We start from the raw sequence: 19,775 nt of genomic DNA, 5'->3' as shown, positions 1-19,775 counted from the left end.
CAACAAGACTATATTCTTACACCTTGCAACACCCTTGTTGATCAGGAAATACAACTTCTTTTGGATCACAAATTCTGTCTATCAGATGCTCCCAGGAATTCCTGTCCAGTACTGATGGTGATGCATGCCCTTGTGGAACAGTGTAAATAATCATATAATGGCTGTGAGTTTCCACACAGAAAATCATGAAAGAATAAGAAAGAGATTGCCCACACCTACCACCAAGTTCTCCACTCTTGTATTCTCTAACATCTTCCTGCACTTAGGTTTACTTGAGAGCAGTAAAGAGAGTAATAGTTATTAGTCAAGATAAATCATACCCAGTATTTGTTTAATTGTTGTGTGTTTTTTTTAAAGTATGACAAAAATCCCTCCTTTCACCTTGGGCAACATGCTCCTTTGTAATTCATTTGGAAACAACACATCCTATCGTAACCTCTTGAAAAGAAGTTACCCCCTGTATCAGAAAAAAATTCTAACTATAATCACCATTCAAATCAACCTCATAAAGCATGTATCTCAGGTGATATTTGGAAAATACTGGTCTTATTTCCAAATAATCTTCATTTCTTCTAAAGTCATTTCACCTTACATTCAGTGTCTCTGTTCTATCATCTGCCCAGATTAAGAAACTGCTACATGGTTTGCTATTGACCCCACTTTTTCCTCACTAGTATAAGATGAAGGACATTCAGGAGTAAAATTAGAGACAAGAAATCGATTAAAAAAGAAAACCTGTGATGGAAGCTGCTGAAGAAGAGATGTCTCTTCATGGAAATGCATGGGGGCTCTTGATTTAGATTTCTGTCTGTGGATAGGATTCATTTAGTTGTGAAATTAGAACACTAGTTGTTAGGCATCAGCAGAAAGACTCAATTGAATACACACAGCTTGATGTGTATCACTACTCTAGTTGAAATAAGGAACTTTTGTTAAATGGAGCATCCAAAGCAAACTCCTAAGAGTTAGAATTTGCGGGGGGGGGGGGGCGTAAATGATATCATCCCTAGGGAATATGTAAAGTAGGCTGAGAAATGAGTGAGAAAACCAGATCATGCATGCCATTGGGATTTATCAGTACCTAGTGGTAGATTTACCTTCTTCTGTACTGTCTCCTTTATTACTGCCGAGGAACGGGAGTTCTTCAGAGAGCATGAGGCCCTGCTACATCTACCAGGTTCTAAAAGAACAAGCCACTACAATCAGCTATGGAGACTGTGTAATACAGGAAACACCTTGCACATACACAAAAATATGAATGGCACCCATTGAGTTCTGCAGTGCCAAATCTGCACAACTGTACACAGTGGCCATGTAATAAATGGCAGCCCTTACCCAGAACTTCAGTCTAATAGTGTGGATCCCAGCCGTCCCATGGTTACTTTATTATCCCTGCAACAGAGCTTCAACACTGCTCCAAATTCTATCTATTGCTAGTTTAAGCACTTAATAAAAACTGCAGCCAGAGTACCAGCCAGTGTGGCTTCTGTTCCTATAATTTACAAGCCATCAGAGACAACCAGTTAGGATTTAATCAACCCAACCTTTATGCCTGAGCATCTACAAAAAGATCAAGAAAGGAACCAGGAATTTTACATTCCATGGTATCATTGGGTAGTTATGCACAGCAACCAAAAGAGAAAAAAGTGTCTAGATATGAGGGAATACAGTCTTCCCTCAGTATCCATGGGAAATTGGTTCCAGGACCCCCTGCAGATACCAAAATCCATGAATTTTCAAATCCCCTTTATAAAATGGCATGGTATTTTCATATAAATTATAAACATCCTCCCATGTAATTTGAAACATCTCTAGATTACTTATAATACTGGATATAATGCAAATGCTCTGTAAATAGTTATTACACTGTATTGTTCAGGGAATAATGACCAAAAAAAGGTCTGTACATGTTCAGTATGGATGTAATTTTTTTCTGAATATTTTCAATCCACCGCTGGTTGAATCCATGGATGCAGAACCCTTGGATACTGAAGAGCTGACTGCATAATTGTTAGTGGAGTAAGCCACAGAATGGTGGTTAGTTCATAATTACTTCACAGCTGCTGTAATTTGTAAAATTCAAACCGTCAGTACTAAATAGATCAAGCCTTACACATGGGTAACTCAGTCAAACCCACAGTGTTGATTCATACTTACCGTGACCAAGTCATCTTAGTTTGCCCAGGACGTCTCTCCTTTTAGCACTGAAAATCCTGTGTCCCAGGAAACGCTTCAATCCTGAGCAAAGTAGGACGGATTGGTCACCAGGTACTACCACGCAAGAAAGATGAAAAACAGTCATAACATAGTTGTAAAGAACAAATTTTCATTCTTCACTTACATTTGGTTGCCAATCTATACACTGATTTATTTTAATCAAGTCACATCACAAAAATTAAGTCAATCACAGATTCTCTAGCTAACAAAAAATGTAAAAAAAAAAAAAAATCAAGTATTGCATTTTAAAAAGGTTTCCTTGACTTCCAAAAAGGTAAGGGTCATTGTTAAGTACTTAACTCTGCACACATCTCATTAAATCTTGTTTTTGAATATTTGTTCAAAGTACTTGCCTTTCTTGCTAGTGAATAATTTTTAAGAACAACAATCTTTCAGTGACTTAACTCTATAATCGCTTTATTAGTATTTACAAGACAAAAGGAAGCTACGTAGAAATGGAAAAATACATAGAGAAGGGAAGCAATATAGAAATATTTTTGGGGTAGAGAAAAAGAAACACTCCAGTCTTGTCATGTCACTGTCTGTTTAAGGGAAACTTAAGAATGGACCATTTTTATAGTTTGGAAAACTTGGGAGTAATTGTGAGTTTATTTGGGTCTTTCTAAATTCAGTTTAACAGTTTTTATTTTTTGCAATTTCAAAAGCTCAGTTTTAAAATGAAAAGACACTTCGAGAAGAGTGGAGTGGGGTATTTATGTGGAACTGTAAAAACTGAAAAAAATAGATCCTGCTATTCATTAGTTTGTGTGTGACTCTACAGAGATTTTTGGGAGGGTTTCACCAACCTTTAAAACTTTTTTGTTCTTTTGTAGTTTTTTTGTGTGTGTCATTGTTGATTTAATTTTTTTCTTTTTTGTTAAAATTTAACAAAATTAAGTCAGCACCTAGCTATACAATGTTTTTAAACAAATTCTTGCAATTCCCCGATTTTTAAGGCCAATGCTGCTTACCTTGGAAATGATGTCAATCTGTAGCTGAGTGTTCCACGATTTATTATGCTGAGTGGCCTCTCATTGAGATACCTTATCCCCTGTCCATTATGTGTTAGTGGAACAGTAAAAATTAGTACCTCAATTCTCATTTGGATTAGGGTGGGGTGGGGGAAGAGGGTATTTTAAGCTTTGACATTTGATCAATGGTTATTTAATATATCACTTGCAATGAGTCATTTTAATGTCTGTTTCTCAACTAATAACTGTTAATCACATCATAGAACCCCAAAGCTGGGTATTTTTGAGAACTGTTCTATTTTTGCTACCACCTGAACGTCTTCAACAGTTAGGGGGATTTGGGTTACTGTTGGTTTGGGGGAGGTTGATTTTGTTTTTTGTTTTGTTTTGTTTAAGTTTTCTTGTTCAATCTTTGCTCGAACCCAAGAACTTAGGCTGCTAGGTTAGAACTCCTGTCTGCTTTCCTGAGCCTTGTTGCTAGTCTTTATGTTATTCTGGTTTGTTCCTTCTTACCCTGCTAACTTCTAGCTGGACTGAAGGGTAAGTGCTCCCCTATAGCTAGCACAGCTCAGATAATCAGATTAGATTATCTGACACCTGCAATGTGCTTCCCTCCCCCTTAAATCTTCCTCATGTCTAGAATTTGTAGTACAACTTTTCATGTTATTTTCCTGACCTTAGGTTTGAAATGTAAGCTTCCATACTGAAACTAGGATGCATGTGATGTGTGCATAATTGCCTCCTCTCCTTGGCTTTCATATTGGCATCAAATGATCCTCTGAGTAAAGCCAACCATTAACGTCTAATTTTTTTTCATTCCAAGAATATTAATTAACATCACAACAAAATGGCAAATAATGCCTTTGTTTCATGTAATTCACAGCTACCTGACTGCTTAATGCCTGAAAACAGATCATTTTGCACTCTGATAATGTGCTGTTGTTGTTGTTGTTGTTGTTGTTTTTCCTTTCCCATTCCAAAGATTCGAATGGTCAGAGTACCAGTGGTGTGGTAACCATGGATACCTTAAAAAATAAGTGGGGTAGGAAACCCAGAGTTGTTAACTGAGCAAGACTAGAAGAAATTGCAAAATACAATTAAGAAAGCAAATGCATTATTTGAACACTAAAGAGTTCATTCTAGCTGGCTTAAGGGTGTGCTCTAATGTAAGACCCAATAGAGGATTAATTTTGAAAGGAGAGCTACAATACATGGAACTAGCACACACAAAAACAGGAAATTAAGGACAAGACTGAATCCATGTCACTCATTTACAAATGCTTTGGATTCACAGTCTTACAATGCCAAGGTATTAACCTTGGTATCAAGGTTGACATTTAACCTCTGGTATCAAATGTCATTCTGCTACTCCCCCAAGAACAATGACAACAATAACTTTTTTGACATCATTTGTATTTGTATTAATTTTTCTAAAAATACCCATGTAAGAGAAAAAGGAGACATTAAAACTTTAGAAAAATATTTCTCTTAACTATTCGAGTTATTAATAAAAAAGAACACATACTTCCTTAATTTATATAGGAAAAAACTATCAACCAAAAATGTGTTGAGGAAAGACTTGACGTTAGACGGAGTTAGAAAAATTGGTCAAGAGAGCAGGCAACTATGTATTTGAGTATTCTGAATGCTAATTTAGAAGAACTAGGTCATATCATTTCTCCTGACCATTTAATGATAGTCTTTTCTTCAAATTTTTTTTGTTTCCTTCTTTAATTTGCTTTTTCCTCCCTTTCTTTCTTTTTTCTTTTATTTTGCATAAATGTACCCCTGGCTAGCAGACAGACGTTTTTCACCACTTCAAGCAGATACTTAATTTGACTTTACTTTTCTTGAATGTCTGATGAGGCATTTTAAAAGGCTTATCATAGAATGTAAACTTAGTGGGAATTTAGGATTTTGCTATACTTTTTTTAAAGAATGAAAGAAAGGATGGATGAATAGTTAACTGAATGAATTCTGTTCTAAACAAGTTTACATGTATTTGCACAACAACGCATTGCTATCCTAGTAGATTTTTAAACAATTGTTTGCCTTAATTCCTTTCTGTAGTTTTATCTCATAAAATTTTGCTATATCTTCTTATATTGTCAACTTGCAGTTGCTACGTTGCAGGAATGCAATATCAAATAATTAATTCAATATTAACATAATTTGTTTGACCCAAAACCATACTGTAAATCATGTCCCTTTTCACTGTAAAAGTAAATCACTTTTTAAAAGAATATGTTCCCACAATCAGGTCTAAAATTTTCCAAACACCATGATTTGATCTAAACAGACCATATTAAATGAAGGTTTACCTCACTGTTAACTACGTAAGACATATTTAACATATTATTCACTAGTTAATTGAGTATTTTCATGCCATATAGTGAGTTATAGTAAGATTATTAATCAGGTATAGAAAATTTATTTTTGCTCATGTTGGAGTGAGTGCAAAAACATCGAGTACTCTGTAAGTTAATATAACTACAGCAGGAGAAAACTAAAATCATTTATTTATTTTGCTTGAGATCTTTGACAAAATCTCTGTTATGATTTTTACTCAAAGCAATTGTCTGACAAATAATTATAGAAATTAACATTGAAATAAACATCACACACTTATCCTTTTGGGGGTATTGCCATAGTAGTTTTAAATTCAAGATTTCTGCATGATGCAATGTGAGCCTTGAGAGCTTCCAAAGAAGCCATCCTCTTTTGGCCATTCATATTACCCCAGTTTAGCTAAAGGGACCACGAAGCAATTAAGTTGTTTCTCAATTAAGTGGTCCATTTGTGCCTCTGGGCAGCAGGCATGTGAGGACCAGTCTTTTGCTTGCTGTGCAGAGCTCAGGCAGGGCACAACATCCCCTGGTTACTTGACTATTCCAAGGAAAGCTCTTCTAGAAAAATCCATAAACAACCAGCTGCCATCAGTCATTGTCATTTCTTTATTTCATGTCTTCTGATGAGGCTGACTACTGTCATTGTTCGTTATTGTCCAAACCATACATTCACTCTTGTACTGTCAAGCAGATATGACAAGCACACATTTTCCGTATAAGAGAAATACAAAGTCACCTTTTAATTTGCAGTTTGGGTTCACAGATGACTTTAGAGTTGCATTAGCTATTCTCTTGCCTCTAGCATCCATCAGGAGTAGCAACAGCCATAACTGTGCTCTAAATTCCAATGTTAAAACAGCTACCTCTAGCTTATTACAAAAGGGATTCATGAGAGAGAAGAGCCTCTTTCAGACAATTTGTTAGTAATATAATCATAATTATTTTCAACAGTGAATTTTTCACTAGCCCAGAAAAATTTCCAAAATGTAATATCACAGAATAAAAAGGTAGATTTGACCTTTTATCTTCAATCCCTAAGCTGTTAGTATAATAGGAAAATTTCAATAAAATAAAAATTTGAAAACTACATTATTCTTCCAGGAAAATTACATTTATTTGCTAGACATTATTGCAAGTCTATCTAAAAATATATATGTTAGAAACAAGATCATATAAGTGTGCTTGATACTGAGATAATAGATCATGAAAAATAGTATATGGTTTTCATTTGTGAGGGAGGAAAAAAGGAAAAGACTATCAAACATGAAATGAACCCAAATATCATGATCAAAGAACAACATAGATGACAGAGTAGTCAATTAGGGACCATACCACTTGAATTTTAATAAAGTAGATTAAATGAGATGAGAGTATAAAACCCACATAATAGTATCACTTTAGGAACCAGTGTTTTCCCAACATTCCTTAAATGTCAAGCCAAAATTACTTCCAAGCAAACTTGGGGCAAGGTTTAGACTAGTTTCCGCTTGAAAGTGCACCTGCTCTCCGTAAGTCTGTATGTTCATCAACCTGCATCTATGTCATAGAAACCATTGACAGTGCTTGAAATTTCTTAATGTCAGTACCAATAGCAGCGTTATCCATCCAAGCTTAGTTTGAAGTCAGTCTCCTATGCCCATGTCATAAAGGACTGAAAAATCCTTATGCAATTAAACCCCCGAAGTGAAACAGGTAGCAATGTTTGCAAGGTGTGTTGAATTATGCCCTAGCTGCAGAGCCTATAAAATCATATAGCTCACTGTCAGTACATCAGTACATCTGGAGCCCTTGAAGACCAAGCAGGACTTAGGAACTACTTCCTAAGACTAGGTCTGACACAGGTAAAGATGATTGAAATTGGTTCTTAAAATGTCAATCGTTGATTTCTAGAAAAATACGGTTAATGAAAAAGAGCATTAGGATGCATCTCCCAAAGCAAGAGATCATCCAAACATCACTGGGGTTTTAAGCAGCCACTTTACCCTCCTAATTCCTTTTTGCTTAACCCGATGTTCAAATTCATTTTCATTCTCTTGACACATGCCAAATATTGGCAAAGGAAGTGATCCCAGAATGTCCTGAATTCAGGAATTGACTCTTTCATACTGCTTGCTCTGGGCTGTTTTCCCTCTGCTAATGTCAACATTGGAGTTTTCTTTTTCTTTAATCAACCAATTCCAACTGTTTGTACAGGGAAAAAATGGAGTTGCAAGGAGCATTTATTTTTTTATGTTTGACACTGTGGAAGAACAGACCGGGACAGTGCAAGAATGACTGTATGGTGTTGCTTGGGAAGCGCCCACAAGTTCTTTGAAACAGAATTTGGAACAGCTGGACCACTGCAGTGTTTTATTTTAAAATAGACAACATATGTAATGCATATGGTCCTAGACATGTATGGAGACACAGGCAGACAATCTGAATGGTATCCAAAGACACCTGCACCTAGAATTCTGTTTCCTTCTATAAGATTTTTTTCCCCTAAGAGCACATGTTCCTACTTTTGGATTTGCAAGATACCATCTGAATCCCCATGTGTGTGACTCCTTAATAAAGTCAATGAGAAGTTTACTGGGATGAAGGTGTCAGAGTAAGCCAGTTAATAACCCCTCCTGAGGACCTGGCTCCTCTAAGAGCTGGCAGGGGAAATAACAGATTAGAAACTTGCCCTCACAGAACATGTTATCTACCAAGGGATTCAATTTTATGTATGTGTCTTGACCACAGAGAAACTGGAAAATAACCCAATGAAAACACAGAAACAGGACATAGGAATTGGTTATACAGGGGCAGAAAAGAAAAATAAAGCAGAGAGATAGGGAAGGACTCCCAGCTTCCTAGAAATGATAAGGTTTAAGAAGCAAAGAAGGAATAGAACATTAGCTATAAATGCAGAGACATCCTTGGCTCACTAACTACTTGAAACAAACTGGCTTTTCAAACACTAAAGATCCTGTTTGTTTACTCCTAGCTAATGTTTATTGAGCCCTTAATATATGCCAGGGCCCTAGGTACTTTCCAGGTACTTCTCTTCAGATCCTCTCAACAGTCCTCTGAAGGTGGACTTGAATTTAACTTCATTTTACAAATGAGGCCAAGGAGGCCCAGAGGCATTAAGCAACCTGCCTCATATCATATACCTAGTGGTGGCAGAGCTAGTCTCAAATCTAGTGTTTGTGACCTGCCTATGCCCAGCCACTTAACCACTTGCTATGCTAGCTCCCATTAAATAAGCCGTTTCCAATCAATGTAGTATATAAATATGCCATAAAATCAAGAAAGAAAAATATTTGTTAATAGAGTGAGTTTCTGTATTTATTCTGAGAAGATAAACTTATGATTTTAACTAATATGTGCTTAGTGCCTACTACGTGCCAGGTACTATTCTAGGGCTGGGAATGTAGCACAAACAAAAAATACCGAAACCCCTGCTTGGATGAGCTTAAACATCAGATTTTTTTCATTAGCACCTTGAAACAGCACTCCTGGCTTACTCCTCCTTCTTTTTTTTTTTATAACATAATAAGCTCAGTAAATATAATAAGCTCAATGAAACTCAAAGATTTTGTGGGAGCCAGCCACCCTTGTAAGCGCTCTTGAGTTGTGGGAACCATTAGAATAATGAGCCCAATTTTGAGTAAATGATAATTTGGGGCAAGTAAAATCCAGAGGTGGCTCGCTTTACTTGCTGGAAATTCCCACTGCATTAAGCTCCATTCCACACATAGTGTGCAAGGGATCTTAAGGATCATTAAATTACAGCCTATAACGGCAGGAAGGGAACTGAAAATTCAGCTCCTCTTACACAGAAGGCAACTGATGCTCAGAGATAAACAATTCAGCCAGCATCCTACAGTTTTTTAAAAACAGAGCTCAACCTAAAATCTAGACCTCCTAGATCCAGTCCTAGGCTCATGCTACAAGTGGATGGGGAGAAAGAAGAAAGAAAGGAAGAAGGGAAAAGGAAGTTTTATTTTGACAAGGTTACTTTTTGAAAATGAAAGCAGGCTGATTTTAGGCTTTTCTGTAAGCTTGCTTTAAAACGTTAGTAAAAAATGAAATTGTTCTTTAGACTTCGACTAGAATTAGCACCACAAAGCTGCATTCATTGAGCCATTGTGATGGACTGAGGGGTGGGGAGTGGGTCTGAATCCAGGTCTCCATAAAGGAGCCAAGTCGCCTTTTCAGATCCATTTCCTGAGTGGCCAGCAAAGTGAAATAGGTCATCAGCAAAGTTTTCAAGAGTTTCAACAAACAAACAAAGAGAAAGAGACTTGAAACATGTGCCATATTTTTTTAACAGCTACAAAAGAGCCCCCTTCTCTCTGAGCTAAATGACCAGTTGTACCATCATAATTGAAGGCAATAAAATAGCCAAGCCAAACTGGCAGAGTAAGGCCCCGGCCGGTTTGTCAGTTTGCAGCCTTTTCTGAGAAACCCGAGAGCAAGAAGCTGCTGCTAGCCAAAATGCCTGATCTATCTGTTAAAATTGGGAGGCGAGGGATGGATGAGGCTTTTTATGAGGATGAAACAGCATGAGCAATTCGTGTGTACCCCATGCTTAGTTTCTCCTGAGTTAAATTGATCTGGGACTGACAGGTTGGAGGTGAGAGGGCAGAGTCTATCAAAGGCGATAGAGAAATGTCACCTGGATTGCAGGAGTGTCATTATGCCAGGGGAGACTACAGTTGGAGCAGGTTTAAGACACTTGCCTTGGGCCAGAGGAGTCACACACATGCCCTAGAAGCAGCTAGCTTTCCCAGGAGCAACAACTTCCTGGCCATCCTAAGTCAAAGAAGAAATGTAGTTTGGAGACCAAACAACCGAACTGAAAGAAGCCTCCTAGATGAAGCAGCCAACCTCAAGTTGAAAGCACTTTCCTGAGGATAAATCTGAGGCAGTTAATGCAGCAAGGAGGATTCTCTCAGATTCTCTAATATAATTCCTGCACATGTGATATCCTTTCCAAAAGCTGTGTTTTATTATTCTAATGGAGCGATTTGGCTGTTAAAATACACATTCTTCAACTTGCCTTCTGGAAACCGTTGCTTCTGCGAGTCTTGGGCATAAACGCCACATCTCGTTCAAACAAGGACCACTTGCTGCTTCTATGAAAAATGACAACGTTTTTTTAAAAAAGTCAAACAATAAGGAGGTATAAATCTGACCATACCATGGATTTAGGTTTGAATGATTTATTAATACAATATCAATAATAATAGGAGAAATCATCATCTGGAAGTGACACTGCTAACCATAACCCAAGCTTACAGCCATACCCCAAGCATGGGAGAGGAAAAAAAAAAAGCTGCCTGGGACTGAGGCCACACATGAAAATGTTATCCAAACTACTCCCAAGTCAGAAATCGATTTTTCCCGTGTCCTGACAGCATCGCTAGTTCCTGGCAGGTCCCCGTATTCCAGTAAGATGTTTCATGAAAAAGGATGAATAAAATCTTTTGCTAGATTTGATAGAAGATTCTTTTTCTCCAAAGTCTGCGTATCAGGAGAGTCAGTAAAGATGAGGTGGAGTGAGCCAATTTCTTTAATGGAGAGCACCTTCATTTCTACCTCTTTAGGATTTGCCTGGACACACACGAGTTGAATTCTCTGAGTTATTTTGCCTGTTGAGTATAGTGTATTTTAGTTACACATGTTGAGATTAATTAGTTAGCCCTTAGGAGGTTTTGCCTACAGCCTTCACCCCGTAAGGAAAAGTGTGAATACATTGAGACTATTAATTCACAATAAATGGCAGATCATAGCCCTTGCTGAGTAAATTTGTTTGTCTCTTTCCTAAGCTTTGCTAACTGAGTAAGCACACTATAAGGAAATGTCCTTTATTTTCACAAACTAAATTCCCATTTAACTTAATCTCCAGGTTTCAATGAAAATCGTTTTTTTTATTTTTAATTTTGCAGGGTGGGGACTCAAACCTTTTATGAAACCAAATTGGCAATGGGGATTTGGAAGAAGACGATATAAATATTGTCACTTTGCTGAAAATCAGCATAACCCTTTTTCCAGATAATCCCAATAATTGCAGAGAAATTGCTGTAGACATAACCACTGGAATGGCAGAATCTATTAAAAACCAGCAAAGCTAAATAGGCTATCTTAAGCAAAGATCCGATCTGCTTTCAGTGTTTGGTGAAATGCAGGCGAAGTTACGGTCTTATGCTTAGTTTTTAAAGAACAACATAAATGCACTGGAAATGTGATCATTTGATAAACATGTTGATGCCAATATCTTCTTGCCTAAATGCAATAAACTCACCAGTAAGTGATGCAAGTTGACAATGGGAGGTAAAAAGAATATCTTGGGGATGTTGGTGGGAGGCAACGGGGAAACAGCTAACGTTCATAATGTCTAGTGAATTCCTGTGTATTTGAAATGTCAAAGAAAATGTGATGTGTTTCTCTAAATTGTGTCTCTCTCTACATGTATAAATGAACAGACGCAGATAGAGCTCAAAAACATGGCATGGATGAATTTATCTCTTCCAACCCCTGTAACTTTGACCACGCTTCCCTCTTTGAGATGGTACAACGCCTTACTTTGGATCACAGACTTAATGATTCCTATTCTTGCCTGGCAAGTATATTCTTTGGTCTACAGCAATTTAAACATAACATTTTTTTTCATTTAAATATTTCTCTACCTTTATGTCAGAAGCTCTTTTCTCCATTACAGAATCCCTTTAACAATTATAAATGTGTTCCCGATTTCCTGGGTTGAGATAGTTTTACTTACCAAAGAAACAAGACTGAGCGGGAGGAAGTTATCAGTAGAAACAGATCCAATTCCCCAGCCTCCCTATCTTAGCTTCCCCCTTTTCAGCTGCTACATGAGAAATATTCCCAAGAGGGTAATCGAGTTTGGCACCTGCTTGTGGAGAACTTGTAAAAATTGCCTCAGTAGCTTAGAGTTTAAGATGCCCTTCCCTCCCCATCCCAGATCTGGTAATCCTATCTCATTACATGAATGTATTCTCTTTGTGTATTTTCTTAAAGGTTAAAATGATTTGTAAATAAACTTTATTTTTCATAAGCTAAATTGATTTGGGTTTGTTTGTTTGTTTGGATGGCTTTTTTTTTTCTTCACAATATTCACAGCATTTTTTCACCCTTTCAGGGAATTTTTTATGGTGCTTTAGTTATTTGGAAATTCAGCTATCTATCCAGCAGGAGTATCAATATTTCCTGAAATCCTATTTTAAAGCTAGATTTAAATGATTTAAATTCAAGGGAGTGCTATTATATTTTTACTGGATTTCTGAAGATACATTTTTGGCTTTAAACTATCAAATTCAAACGCCTAAAAAAAGACCCAATTTACTTCTTCCTCAAGCCATAAATTGTTATTTCATTTCTTAAAAGTAAATGCTATTAATCCCACTTTATAGATGGGAAAGATGAGGGAAAATGATGAAATGTCTTTATATAGAGGAAAATTCTCATCCCTGATTCTAAACACTAAAGTTGAGAAGAATATCTCTATGTAATATTTATACTATATAATAAGTAGGGTTAAGATATTATTGATACTAATATGTATAATGACAATCTTTCTTTTTTCTAATTTTTATTTTAAATTTCTTTTTTTGTACCAAAAGCCAAGATATAAAAAATTGTAGATAAAATAGTCTTAAACACAGAAACAGAATTATGTGGAATAATTTATTAATCTGTATCTCATGAAAGATTCATTGATTATCTCAGGTTTAGAATTCCTTCATCAAAAGGATCTGAACTTTGCCAAATTGGAAAGGAACACATCACTTTGACTTAAAAAAAAAAAAAGAAAAAGAAAAAGAAAAAAGCTTACCTTGCATTGCAAGGCAATTTTTCTCAAATGTGTTTTGTACAATTATGTGATTGTTCACATAATTATAAATGGCATTCATTAAACTTGTAAGAATGTGCCTCTGAACTTAAATCATTCCCTTTTATATATAATTACTATTCCCTTAAGGAATTTTTTTGAGGTATATTATTTCCAAGACTTTTTCACATTATCATTTTTTAAAACAATTTTCTTTGTTTTGAGATTCACTGTGAAGGAGAGTTTATAAATGCTCTCTAAAAAAATTAAACCAGAAATGAAATATTAAAACTTGCTTTCCATTAATTACTTATAGGCTTAAAATTATGGTCCAGAATCTAAAATTAATTATGAATAGCATAAAATAGCTTCCTTCCCCATTTGTATACCTGTGTATATTAGTCATTATTCCAAAATTTCAGAAAATAACAGAAATTAAAAAGGACCTTATCTCCTGCCTCTGTATATTCCATTTTCTCATTATTACAATCTTTTTTTCAGTTAGTTTTGGAGACCGACCAGCAGGGATACATAAATTTTTCTGTGTCTTCGACTGAGTTCCTAATTGATATTTCTTCAACTCTTTTCAAAGCAGCTATTTTGGCATCTACAAAAGACTTGGTGTCATCTGAGTCGTAGAAAATATATTTTAATCTTTCACAGCAGTGTTGTTTCTAAGATTTAGCATTTGGGGTAGCAGATGGAGTGGCAAAGAAGTTGCCTATAGGGGCAGCCCACTGCCTCGACTACTCTCCGCCCTCTGCAGTAACTTATAATTTGAAACAGGAAAGATGCCGTCTTTCGTTGGATGCATCACTGAGCTGCATGTTGTCAATTGAAGATTCCCAGATCCCTAATACAAGATTAGAGTGTTGCAAAGGCCTCTCTCGCTGTACTTCTGTGGCCTCTACCTGCCCCCTAGTCACTTTCTCTTTTTGCCTTTTCTCTCCCAAGATGGAGCAATATTCAAAAGATGACTCAGAGAAGACCCTCAAAGTAAAATTAAGTTTATATTTAAAATAGCCCCAAATTTCCAGCTTAGAAAGTATCACCTAAATTGGTTTATTTCTTGCTTTGAACAGACACTGAAACCAGAAAACACAATTTTATTTCAGGCTCTGCTTAAGGGTGACCTTGAGTGGCAACTCACTTGGCCTTTCTGAGCACCTGTTTTCTTAAGTGCGTAATGGGGCTAGCAATTTCCATCCCATCATGCCACCAAACCTGCTCTAATTTGCAGATCTGAATTCCCATTGTCTTGTATAGCAGAGTTTGGACTGGTCCCATAGCAAGCAAATAAATAATAAGAATACAAACAATTACCAGAAGAGAAAATAAAACTCTAAACCAGGACACAAGAAGTTCCTCTCAGTTTAATGGAATTACATCTGATTCACAACTTGAAAACTAAGCCATGCTGTTCTCTTTGGAGAGTTGCGTTATTACCTTCATTTGAAAAATTTAAAAAACACTCTTTCCAAAGTGAAAGGATTTATGAAGTCCTGGCATGTATGTAGATCAACCCTAAAATTTCTTCATGCTCTAGAGTAGAGAAAACAAGAAGACTTGGAATATGACAGAGCTGGATTTGAGTCCTGCCTCTGTTTTGTATTATCTGTGTGAGTCACTTAACGACCAGGATTTCCATTTTCTTGTCTTTAAAATAAACCTTCTCTGTCTACCTTACAGAGTTGCTATAGGGCTCAACTGAAAGTTCTCTGTTAAGTGTAAAGCTCTATATCAATGTAGAGCATTAATGTTATGATTTCCTCTTATCAGTAACCACGACTTTGCCACATCCCCACCCCAATACTCCTTTAACGTGTATGGTTCCGTGTTCAAGCAGTAGGTGAGACACTGTTTCTGGAACCAAGCTGTCTGCTAATCCCCCTCCATCACTCACTAGAAAATTTTATGCCCTTCTTGAACTCAATCTTTCCATCTTTATAACAGGGATAACAGAATGTACCTCATAGGTTCCACTGTGAGGACTAAACCGCAATATGCTGTGCACAGTGGCTGGCACATAATAGGCAATCAAGGAGTGTTAGCTCTGGCTATTTTTCAGTCCCCTTCTCTAGCCACTCCCAACTCTAGCAGCTCTCCAGAAAACAACCTGTATTTAAAAGAAAGTCTCTCCTTTATTCTTTATATAGGGCTGGTTCAGTCCTGGCCAGGTGTTTGTACTAGACGAGTATTGCGCCCGAAATGGAGTCCGGGGGTGTCACCGACATCTCTGCTACCTCAGAGACTTGCTTGAACGGGCAGAAAATGGCGCCATGATCGACCCCACCCTTCTTCACTACAGCTTTGCCTTCTGTGCATCCCATGTCCATGGGAACAGGTAAGTGTGTGTTCGTGTGTCTAGAGGTGATCCTTAAGAAATGGCACTGGCAATGGTTTATGGCTAGTCTTGCTTTTAGGATCTGCCTGTCTTCATTCCTTCGGTGGTATGTGCACACGTACACACACACACACACACACACACACACACACAAAGGGCACTAACTTTCTTCTCCTTTCAAGAAACTTAAAATAAATGGCAAGCAGGGCTTCTAGGGCAAGCTCGGAAGTTAGGCCAATCTAGGTTCAAATCATAGTTCTTCCATTTACTAGCAATAACCCTGGTTGGTAATTAAGCCCTTTGTGCCACGGTTTTCTCGTCTGTAAAATGGGATGATTGTATACCCCTGGGGTTGTTGAGAGAATGCAAGTACCTATAAAGGGCTCAACATAGTGCCTGAAACATGGCAAAAACAATAAATATTTGCCTTTGTTTTTGTTATTTATTTCATAATTGCTTAATAATTACTTCCTTAGTGTCAGTCACTCTGATACACATTTAGTATGTGTGGTGAGTAAAAGCCAGACATCAAACAAGGGCAGAGTTACATTCAGATTGATGCTCTGACTCTGAGGAAAGGGAATAAAATTCCATGACAAAATTTAATAAAGAAACATGACTCAGATGGAATGGCAAGATGGCAAGGAGGACCTCCCTGAGGAAGTGATGCTGGAGCTGAGAACTAAAGCATGTGTAGGAGTTGAGTGGTTCCAGGCAAAAGGAACAGCATGTACAAATGTCCTGCAGAAGGAGGAAGCCAAGTACATTTCCAGAGCTGAAGCAAGCTAGGTGAAGCTGGAAGGCAAAGATGATGATAACACTTTTAATTTAACCATAGAGCCTGGAAGAACTTTTGAGATCACAGTCTAATCAACCCCCTCATTTTGTAGGTTTTATATACAAGCCCAGAACGTCAAGTCTCCTGACTCTGTACTAAGTACTCTCTTTCTTTAGACCTTGCCCAGCTCCTGGAGGAAAAGATCCATGTTCTGAATAATGCAAAGCAGCAAATAATTTAAGAACATTGCCATTTGGCTCTGGAGACATGGAATAAATTTCCACACTGCCACAGCCAGTTTACTATCTCAATGTATGTAGCCTTGCATTAGTATAAAGACAAGCCTATATTATCCCAAAGCTCCCCAACCAACAGCCAGTGAAGCCACACCCAGGAAACACTAGGTGGCTTCAGAAACCCAGCCTCAGATGCAAAAGTCGCTGCTCTGGAGAAATCCACATGTGGGAGAATCCAGAATTGACTACATTTATTTTAAATCAGAACTGTGTCAGTCGTCTTCATCTTTGCAAGCTATACAACTAAAATCTCTGTAGGATTTTTTCTGTGCTTTTCCTCCTTCTAGCACTGATGTATTTTTACGAAATGCAACTTCAACATTTAGAGCTAGATAACAATAGCATCATAGGTTTGAATATTTAACAGGCAACAAGGTTATCATCACCTCCCATTGTTATGAGGTTTGCTAGCCCAGCACGTGACCTTTTATTTGCATAAAAGATACTCATGAAAACTCTGATACCTGGGGGGTATCTGTGCATAATTCTGCTTTTTATAAATATGTACACTTTGATGACTATCTGTTACAGCCTCTTGGACTGAATTTTTTAAAGAGAGAGAGAGAGAGAGAGAAGTTGCATTATATTCTCTGGGTTGTCACACTGTATTCTACATATGTTACTGAATAAGAAAGTGTTATAAAATAATGAAGTGTTTTTGTAAACTCCCTGGTAAACATCATCATGAATTATGATACACATTGTCTGGATTTCATATTGTAAGACTGCCACTTGATTCACAGTTAGGTTTATACATCTTGTCATGGAAACAGTTTTGGATTTCTTATTTTCTTTTCAGTTCTGATTTTCCTTATGCAAGTTTGCATCTTTTTTTCTTATTATTTTAGTTTGAATGCATTTGCGCCTGCTTTTTCATGCACCCTTCTTTTTCTTTCTTTTGTTTGTGCATGTGCGTGTGCTCTTGATTCTCCTATGGCTGGCCACACTCTGTGCATGCCTCATGCGACCACCCCCTCTCCAAAGTCAACAAATGCATGTGTACCTTAGTGGGCTGCCACCAAATACAGACCCTGAAGGGAGCAAAACTCCCTCCCCACCTGAACCAGAAGCTAAAAAAGATACCAAAAAGGAATCCAAAAAAAGAAAAGATTCCAAAACCCAGGCAAATCAAGAGCTGAAAAGGTAAGAAGTTATGTGTGTATTGGCTTGTGTTTGTAATATCTTTACCCTTTCCCCAAGCCTCCATCCATGCCATCACTTCCACTTTTGCAAGCTTTGAGTATTCCTAAAGTCTCTCTTTAAGCATTTTCAAAGGTGCAATTTTAAAAAAAAATTCTAGCAATGGGCAAAAATACCGTGTATTGGGACTAAATTTGAGTCAGGTGTTCAGTGACTTTTAAAACGTGTTCATATTGAAAAGACTAATTGAGCAATATGTAAACAGAATTGTGAGTCAGATTGCTTTTTTAGTGGCATCTAGTTAGGGGCCTGGTACCTTACCAAGTCATTCATAATAAGCAACCCATGCTTTATAATTTTGAAATTATGTTTAAGGAGCAAATAAAATAGATTGGCATAAGATAGGCCTATGCATTTATAGTAGTGCCATCATTTTCAGCAAATACCTATTAGTTCTACATTCATCTCATAAAAAGAAATTCATCTCAAATAATGATTTATAATAATGTCATAAGATAAATTCTATTACCAAATTAATGCTTCTTAGTAGAATCACTTATATACTGAGGTCACCTTTAAGGCACTTTTAACTTCTAAAATTTTGTTTATCCTGTCCTGTTTCCTATGTCCTTTCTTTGCGGGTTTATAAATTGGCGAATTGGTGAACTTTTTCCCTTTTAAATTAGGTTTACTAATTATTTCCAGTTTTATTCTGTGCCCTTCTTCACCTTTTATACCGTCACCCAAAATTAACACTGACATTTTAAAGTTTTTTGTTTGGTTTTAGAACTGATGACTCTGATCCTGGCATTGCCAAGCTACCCAAAATTCTCAAGCGTGTATGCTGTATGCTTCATCATTATAAATTTATTCACTGAATATTTCTAAGTCCTGAAATGTATACCGTTCACTTGTAGACAGGCCAAATGAAAATGCAAACTTTTGCTTTCTAGAGAATGTGGCAGGCTGTCAATCAGTATATGCGGGTCCAATAGGGAAGGTCAAAGAAAACCCTGATTCCATGTGGCCATCCATCTCCTTCACCGCAATATGTAAGGATAGAGGTGAAATGCAATTTCTGTTTGTGTTTCACTGTAAAAGTTAGATTGCAAGGCAACAGTAACTTGCAATTAGGAAGAAAGTGCATGCAGAATGTTGTAGGTGCCTGAAGGTGAGGTCTGACGGAATGACAAGGCTTCGGAGAGGAAGCCTTCCTGGCTGCTGTCCAAGGTGCTGCTTTTGGAAGGATCAACATCCAAGTGGAGCAGAGAACAAATGGCCAGTGTTGAAAGGCACACTTGCTTGAACCTGATCTATTTCTTAGGCCACGAAAAACTAACTAAAGGGATCTTGACTGGTCCTATTGAGGCTTATGTGTGTGTTTCAGAATCTTTGTTTGCATTGCATTTTTTTAATAAAGAAGAAATCATAATATTAAGTAGCAATTGTGTAACATTCTACAGTTTACAAAGTGCTTTTTTGTTTTTGTTTTTTTGAGATGAAGTCTCGCTCTTGTGCCCCATGCTGGAGTGCAATGGCATGATCTCAGCTCACTGCAACCTCCGCCTCATGAGCTCAAGCGATTCTCCTGCCTCAGCCTCATGAGTAGCTGGGATTACAGGTGACTGCCACCACGCCCCGCTAATTTTTTTGTATTTTTAGTAGAGAGAGGGTTTCACCATGTTGGCCAGGCTGGTCTCGAACTCCTGACCTCAGGTAATCTGCCCGACTCAGCCTCCTAAAGTGCTGGGATTACAGGCATGAGCCACCGCGCCCAGCCACAAAGTGCTTCCAAACATTTGCTATAAAATATTCAGATTAGCTATTTTTATGTTCATTTTGCAGATGATAAAGTC

At 37.3% G+C, this 19,775-nt stretch overlaps 1 protein-coding gene across 51 annotated transcripts in view, besides 2 other annotated features; it reads left to right on the top strand.

Moving 5' to 3' along the window:
• The window catches only part of CADPS (calcium dependent secretion activator), a 477,069-nt gene that overhangs the window by 326,841 nt on the left and 130,453 nt on the right, over nucleotides 1-19,775 (top strand). For 25 of the 51 annotated variants that reach the window (XM_017007376.3, XM_011534195.3, XM_011534183.3 and 22 more), the window contains exons 12-15: nucleotides 3,717-3,728; nucleotides 11,995-12,131; nucleotides 15,518-15,705; nucleotides 17,764-17,922. In XM_017007376.3, the coding sequence (XP_016862865.1) occupies nucleotides 3,717-3,728; nucleotides 11,995-12,131; nucleotides 15,518-15,705; nucleotides 17,764-17,922 (496 nt within the window). The remainder of the gene's footprint in view (nucleotides 1-3,716; nucleotides 3,729-11,994; nucleotides 12,132-15,517; nucleotides 15,706-17,763; nucleotides 17,923-19,775) is intronic. The other 26 variants (NM_001438352.1, XM_011534199.3, XM_017007378.2 and 23 more) reach the window with 4 other exon arrangements.
• Nucleotides 9,568-9,862: a silencer, noted in NCBI's record as "tiled region #8400; K562 Repressive non-DNase unmatched - State 24:Quies". NCBI's record gives its function as "represses a minimal TATA promoter and a strong SV40 promoter by Sharpr-MPRA in K562 cells {active_cell/tissue: K562}" and the evidence as "EXISTENCE:reporter gene assay evidence [ECO:0000049][PMID:27701403]".
• Nucleotides 10,115-10,825: an enhancer, noted in NCBI's record as "H3K27ac-H3K4me1 hESC enhancer chr3:62523426-62524136 (GRCh37/hg19 assembly coordinates)". NCBI's record gives its function as "activates a minimal SCP1, AML or CMV promoter by ChIP-STARR-seq in naive H9 embryonic stem cells {active_cell/tissue: H9 hESC(naive)}" and the evidence as "EXISTENCE:reporter gene assay evidence [ECO:0000049][PMID:30033119]".

Source organism: Homo sapiens, chromosome 3 (genome assembly GCF_000001405.40).
Source record: "Homo sapiens chromosome 3, GRCh38.p14 Primary Assembly".
Taxonomy (NCBI): Eukaryota; Metazoa; Chordata; class Mammalia; order Primates; family Hominidae; genus Homo; species Homo sapiens.
This window is presented reverse-complemented; position numbering and strand designations above follow the sequence as displayed.